Below are 8,320 nucleotides of genomic sequence, written 5' to 3' on the forward strand. Positions count from 1 at the left end.
GGGGTGGGGGTGGGGGGTGGGGGTAGAAAGCAACCATATGATAGATGAAATAAAACTCTACTGTTTGCAGATGACATGATGGTCTATTTAGAAAATCCCAAAGAATCTACCAAAAAAATCCTAGAGCCAGTAAGTGAGGTCAACAGGTTACAGATTACAAGATGAACACAGAAAAATAAATTATATTTTTCTATATGAGTAATGAATATAAGAAAACCGAAATGAAAATACAATGCCATTTATAATTTTTTTTAATACTCAGATGTAAATCTAACAAAATATATCCAGGATGTATAACCCTGAAAACTACAAAATGCTGATAAAGTAAATCAAAGAAGATTTAAATAAATGGGGAAACATTCCCTATTCATGGTTTGGAAGACTAAACATAGTAAAGATATCAATTCTTTGCGAATTAATATATAGGTTTAGCACAATTCCTACAAAAAGCTCATCAGGAATTTTTCTGCATAGAGATAAGATTATTCTAAAATTTACATGAAATGCATAGGATCTAATATAACTAAAACATTCTTGAAAAGGGAGAATAAAGTGAGAAGCATCAGTTCACTTGATTTTAAGACATATTATACATATATACAGTAATCTAGTTGTAATGTATTGATGGAGGAATAGACATATAAATGAAATCAAATAGGCAACTCAGAAATAGCCACATGCAAACACATCTGATTTTGAAAAGAGGGCAAAAGCATTTCAATAGAGAAGAGATTTTCCAGTAGTGCTGGAGAGAATAAACATTTATAAGCAAAAAGGAAAACAAACCTCAATTTGAACTTCACAACTTATACAAAAATTAGCTCAAAATTGACTACAGACTTAAATATAAAATACAAAACTATAAACTCTGACAAAAATACGTAGAAAAAAACTTCAAAATCTGGAATGAGGCAAAGAGTTCTTAGATTTAAAACCAAAGACACCATCTATAGAAGAAAAAATTGATAAACTAGACTTCATCAAAATTAAAAACATTTATTCTGTAAAAATCTGTTAAGAGAATGAAAAGACAAGCTACAGCCTAGAAGAAAATGCTAGCAAGGCACATAACTGACAAAGGATGAGTATCTAGAATATAAAAAGACTCACAACACAGCAGTAAAAAAAAAAAAATCTAATTAGAACATTGGAAAAAGACATGAAGAGACATTTCAATGAAGAAGATACATGGATGGAAAATAAGCACATGTGCAAAATCACGGTCAAATTTAAACCACAGTGAAAAATCCTAAACACCAATCAGAACGGCTAAAATGAAAAATAGTGACAACACTGAAAATAAGCAAGGATGCAGAGAAACTGGATCATCCGTATGTCGCTGGTGAAAATGGTAAAATGGTACAGATTCTCTGAAAAATGGTTTGGCAAGTTCTTAAAAAAAAAACACAAAAAACAAATACAGCTAACCTGATGCTGCAATTACACTACTGGGTGTTTATCCTGGAGAAATAAAAATATATGCCACGCAAAAAAAAAAAAAAGAATGCCATGAATAGGGATAGCAGATTTATTTGTAATAGTAAAAAATAGAAAACAATCCAGATGCCTCTAAATGGAGGAATCATTAAATGAACTGTGATGCATTCATGCTATGGAATACCACTCGGAAACCAAATGGAGTGAACTATTATATACAACACCGGATGAATATTCAGAGTGAAAGAGAACAATCCCAAAAGCTTACATACTGTATGATTCCACATACATTTTTTAAATGACAAAATTGTAGAAATGGAGTAGATTAGTGGTTGCCGGGGGTTGAGGAGGGTGTGAGGTGGGTAGAAGTGGGTGTGGCTATAAAAGGGCAACAGGAGGCATCCTTGTGGTGACGGAATTATTTTGTATTGTAACTGTACCAATGTCAGTGTTTTGATTGTGATATGGTACTCGGGTTTTGCAAGATGTTACCATTGGGAAAAATGAGTAAAAGGTATATGAAATCTCTTCATATTATGTCTTACAACTGCATATGCAAGTACAGTTATTTCACTATAAAAAAGTTAATCTTAAAAACACAAAACTGACTCTAGAAATTCTAATTCCCTTATATATATCTACAAATTGAATTTTAATTAAAAACTTTTCTCACAAATAAAATTCTTGCTCACATGGTTTCACTGATAAATCCTATTCAAAATTAATGAAGAAACTATCAGAATAAAAGAATATCCTAAAGACTTAAACATAAGACCTAAAACCCTAAAAACCCTAGAAGAAAACCTAGGCAGTACTATTTGGGACATAGGCATGGGCAGACTTCATGTCTAAAACAGCAAAAGCAGTGGCAACAAAAGCCAAAACTGACAAATGGGATCTAATTAAACTAAAGAGCTTCTGCACAGCAAAATAAACTATCATCAGAGTGAACAGGCAACCTACAGAATGGGAGAAAATTTTTCCAGTCTACCCATCTGACAAAGAGCTAATATCCAGAATCTATAAAGAACTTAAATTTACAAGGAAAAAAAAAAACAACCCCATCAAAAAGTGGGCAAAGGAAATGAAGGGACACTTCTCAAAAGAAGACATTTATACAGCCACAAAACATGAAAATAGAGCTCATCATCACTGGTCATTAGAGAAATGCAAATCAAACCACAATGAGATACCATCTCACGTCAGTTAGAACGGCGATCATTAAAAAGTCAGGAAACAACAGATGCTGGATAGGATGTAGAGAAATAGAAACGCTTTTATACTGTTGGTGGGAGTGTAAGTTAGTTCAACCATTGTGGAATACCATGTGGCAATTCTTCAAGGATCTAGAACCAGAAATACCATTTGACCTAGCAATCCCATTACTGGGTATGTACCCAAAGGATTATAAATCATTCTACCACAAAGACACATGCACACGTATGTTTACTGCGGCACTATTCACAATAGCAAAGACTTAGAACCAACCCAAATGCCCATGAATGATAGGCTAAAGAAAATGTGGCACATATACACCATGGAATACTATGCAGCCATGAGAAAGAATGAATTCATGTCCTTTGTAGGGACATGAAGCTGGAAACCATCATTCTCAGCAAAGTAAAACAGGAACAGAAAATCAAACACTGCATGTTCTCACTCATAAATGGGAGCTGAACAATGAGAACACATGGACACGGGGAGGGGAACATCACACCCCCCTGTTGGGGGGTGGGCTGGGGGGCTAGGGGTTGGGATAGCATTAGGAGAAATACCTAACGTAGGTGACAGGTTGATGGGTGCAGCAAACCACCATGGCACATGTATACCAGTGTAACAAAATTGCACGTTCTGCACATGTACCCCAGAACTTAAAGTATAATAATAAAAAAGGATATACTAAAGAAATTCTTTTAGAATATGGAAGAATAGGACTCTATGCAGTTTGTTTTGTAAGATCAACATAATGTTGTTATATCACAATCTTAAAAAGGCATTACAAGAAAAGTAAATTCTAAGAAAACATCTCTAATGAATATGGGTACAAAACTCCCTAAAAAAACTAATACTACATAAATATAATACATCATGATTAAGTGAAGTTTATTTCAAGAATGCAAGATTGGGTTTGTTAATTGCAAAGACCATAATTTACCTTATTGACAGAATAAAGGAGAAAAAACCATAGAACCATTTCAATAAGTTCCAAAAGAAAAAAAATCCAACATTTTTCATAAAAACTCAACAAATTGCCAATAGAAAGGGAACTTCTTAATCTATAAAAGGGCAAAATAAAACTTACAATAACTTATTTGTTGATGAAATTTTGAACATATTTTACAAATATTTGTTCTACTGATTCTAGCAGTATAAAAAGGCAAAGAAAAAAGCATACATGTTGAGAAGGAGTAGTGAGACTTGGTTTTTGCAGGTGGCATGATAGTTTACATAGAAAATCTTCCTTCTGGAATGAATAAGTTTATGTATGTGTGTACATATATATATGTTATATATGTATATACAACACGTATACAAATATTGGTTGTATTTCTATATGTTATCAATAAATAATGGAGAAATAATTTCATTTACGATACCATCGAAAAGCAAAAAATATTTCAAAACACATTTGATGAAATTTGTCCACGTACTCTATTTTAAAAACTACAAACCATCAATGAGACAAATATTTAAAAAGACCTAAGCGAAGAAATACACGTGTTTATGCATCAGAATATCAATTATTACCAGTTTGGCTCAATGATTCAATGCAATCCCAATCAAAATCCTAGTAAGATCTTTATTGGGAACTGATAGGTTGAATCAAAATTGGTATCAAAATGTAGCAGACCCAGAAGAGCCAAAACAAACTTGTAAATAAGAACAATGGATTACATACACTACTTGTATTATATATTATACATTATATATTATGTAATATATAATATATGTAATTATATATTAAATATACATTATATATACAACCTATGTACACTATACAGATATATAATGTTAGAAGAAATGTGAGAATTGTAAAGGCAAAAAGATAATGTGTTATACACATTTTATATTATATATATGTATTTTTTTCTAGCTCATCAAGGTATCATTAATGCAAGATTTATTTCATTGATCTCCATAGCAAAAAGTATAATTTATGTGCATAAACTTGTATCTTTATTTGGGCTCTGAATATAACAATAAGTTTTTGCTATGTTACTTCAGTCTTAGCAATTATAATTTTAAGATAAAAATGTTCATAATTAGAAAAAACAGAAAAACTGGATGTACTGACATTATATGGGTCAGCAAAATTGGTAGGATCCAGACAAGATATTTAAACTTTTTTTTGTTTAAATATATTTTAAATAGGGTTGTAATGAACATAAAATGTTTGAATGCATGCAAGCCACTTAGAACAATGCATGGCTATATAATTGTTAGCTAATATTACTATTAACACAGCTTCATCCAGTAGGGATTCCTGGTGGGTTTGGACAAGCTCAGATTGGAAAAAATTATCTCATTAGATAATTCCAATATATTGATAGACCACCGAGGTAGGGAACATGATCCCTCCCCCAATGCCAGTCATAAGCAAATAGGGATTCCTGAGCATCAAAGGAGTTCAGAGCTTGGCCACCACTATGTTACTTCTCATCTCGAACCTCTGACTCTTACATTATCATATCCTTGAGACAGGCTTCTTCTTTGCAGCAGTTGAAGCCATCATAGAGATCTCCCACAGTAAAATATTTGAAATTCTTTATCAAGCACGTCTTTTCCCACCTTAATGACCTTGGAGACATCTATTACATACCTGGGTGATTTGAAGTATACTAGATCACCTAACCTCTTTGAGTCATCTATAAAATGGGAACCACAATCTTTGAACTGACTACTTGTATCTGTTGTTATTATGACCAAAGAAAATCATGTATGCAAAAGTCGTTACTTGTGCAAGACATTATCATAATTTTTGTCCATGTTACTGCTCTATTTTCATTTGTAGCTTGACAACATTTAAACATCCGCCCCAAATCAAAAATATGTTATTATGCAACATTCTAAAATGTTAAGTTGCAAGCTTTATGGGAATAAAATTCTTTGTAATCAGGATGTTGGTCGTGATTTCTTAGTTTTAGGATCATAAATTAAATCCTATGTTTAGTCAATCCTTAAATATTGTCTTCATAAGGCTCTGTATATATTCTATTTCTCATTCCCTCCAGATGCATTGGGTAAACAATTTCTTCACTGTTATTCCCACAGTTTTGATTTATAGGCTGATATTCAACTATCTAATAAACAGCATCTGTATCTTATGCAGAGTTTAGTTTTCAAATTTTTTATGGTATTCATATATTAAATGAATATTTTAAACATCTATTATCATCATGGTGCTGTGGTCCTGAAGGGTGCCCCAGGATATATAACTCCATTTTTAATGGATTAACAAACTGCAACTTCCATCAAGACACCAAATTGGAAGATTTATATAGTGGCTCAAGCTGAACCTTAGAACTCATTCTAGATTCCTCTGTGTCTTCCAACTGGGAGTGGCTACATACAATCAATCAGCAAGTCTGATAATTGTGTAAGCTAAGTATCTCTCAAATATGTACCTTCTTTAAGATCATTTGTTCCCCCATAACTTGGCCTCTGCATGTGTTATAAGTTTTATATCACATACCTATTACTTTTTTATTATAAAGTTCTGGGATACATGTTCAGAACGTGCAGTTTTGTTACATAGGTATACACATGCCATGGTGGTTTGCTGCATCCATCAACCCGTCACCTACATTAGGTATATCTCCTAATGCTATCCCTCCCCTAGCCCCCCACCCCCCAGCAGGCCCCGGTATGTGATGTTCCCCTCCTTGTGTCCATGTGTTCTCATTGTTCAACTCCCACTTATGAGTGAGAAAATGTGGTGTATGGTTTTCTGTTCTTTTGTTAGTTTGCTGAGAATGATGGTTTCCAGCTTCATCCATGTCCCTGCAAAGGACATGAACTCACCCTTTTTTATGGATGCATAGTATTCCATGGTGTATATGTGCCACATTTTCTTTATCCAGTCTATCACTAATGGGCATTTGGGTTGGTTCCTTTATGTTACGTTCAAGTCATGAGGAACATACACTTCAACAAACAGTATGATTTTCTATATACTCATGGTTTTGCTCATAGTACCAGCTCCACTATTCCTTTTCCAGGTATTATCTGATTCTCTCCACCTATCAAGTGATATGGCCTTTCTAAAATTGATTTCAGCACAATACACAAATATCAATCATAATACTTCATATTTGTACAGACTACCTGTTTGTGGTTGTGTCTCCATTATTAGACTTTATTGTGGGAATATGTGAATAGCAAGGACAGTATCAGTCAGCTTAGAATCCTTAGAAATGTAGTAGCAATTTATTAGAAACACAACTTTAATATGATTTCAATAAATATTCAACTGCCCTAGCAATACTAGTTGTATAATTAATAAGCAAATTAGTTCCCGCTAAATAGCCAGAAAGCAAAATTGTCCACAGCAATAATGGTCACCAAAAGATAGCCAAATCTCATCCAGTAGAGAAACTGCTGAATCAAGTGGTAGTTAGACTTTTAGCTCTTTATGGAATCTCCACACTGTTTTCCATAGTGGCTGTATTAGTTTCCATTCCAGCCAGCAGTGTAGAAGTGTTCCCTTTCACTGCATCCACACCAACATCATCTATGATTTTTTTATTTTTTATAATGGCCATTCTTATGTGAGTAAGGTGGTATTTCATTGTGTATTGCATGTTTATAGCAGCAAAATTTACAATTGCAAAAACGTGGAACCAGCCCAAATGCCCATCATTCAAAGAGTAGATAAAGAAACTGGTGTATATATGTATATACCACACACACATATATGATGTATACCATACATACATGCATATATACCATATATATGCACCACATATACACCATGTATTTGATGGAATACTACTCATTCATGAAAAGGAATGAATTAATGTCATTTGCAACAACCTGGATGGGATTGGAGACTATTATTCTAAGTGAGGTAACTCAGGAACAGAAAACTAAACACTGTATGTTCTCACTTATAAGTGGGAGCTAAGCTATGAGGATGTGAAGACATAAGAATGATACAATGGACTTTGGGGACTCAGGGGGAAAGGATGGGAAGCCAGTGAGGAATAAAAGACTACTAATTGGGTTCAGTGTATACTGCTCAGGTGACGGGTACACCAAAATCTCACAAATCACCACTAAAGAACTTACTCATGTAACCAAATACCACCTGTTCCCCAAAAACCTATAGAAATAATAAAAAAGAATATGTTTAATGAAGAATTAAAAAAAAAATAACTGATGCTAAAAGGACCTGCGAGCAAAGAAGGTGGTACACATGAATAATTTCAAACATCTGTAGAAAACACACACAAAAATAATGAGTAACATGGGGGTCAAAATCATGATAAACTAAAATACTTGACAACAACATGTAATGTGCTAAAGGGTAGGGCACTGATAAGAGTTCACCATTCCAGGATTCTTTTATTATTTGATGATAGAGACATAATTAGCATTATACTTTGTTAAAATATTAATGGCGGGTCATAAAGGATATAAGAAGGATGCCTATCTCTGGACCAGAAAAAGAAATGCAAAATTATAGAGAAAATGTTACTATTTTAAAGGAAGGTAGAACAGCAACAAAGTGAAGAATAGACATAGAGAGGGGATTTTTAAAGTTCCAATTAGATGTTAGGAAACTCCCAGATGTATCAGTGAAAAGTTAAGTTCAGCAGTTAGAAGGTATGGGTTTTTAGATTGGGAAAACTATACATAATGATTTAATTTGGCCCTAACTTTC

General features: G+C 33.5%; 1 long non-coding RNA gene across 1 annotated transcript in view; it reads right to left on the minus strand.

The window, feature by feature from the left end:
- Positions 1-8,320, minus strand: part of ADAM7-AS1 (ADAM7, ADAMDEC1 and ADAM28 antisense RNA 1) — a 252,805-nt gene that overhangs the window by 79,213 nt on the left and 165,272 nt on the right. The gene's annotated exons all lie outside the window — the stretch shown is intronic.

The sequence above is a fragment of the Homo sapiens genome, chromosome 8 (assembly GCF_000001405.40).
Source record: "Homo sapiens chromosome 8, GRCh38.p14 Primary Assembly".
Lineage (NCBI taxonomy): Eukaryota > Metazoa > Chordata > Mammalia > Primates > Hominidae > Homo > Homo sapiens.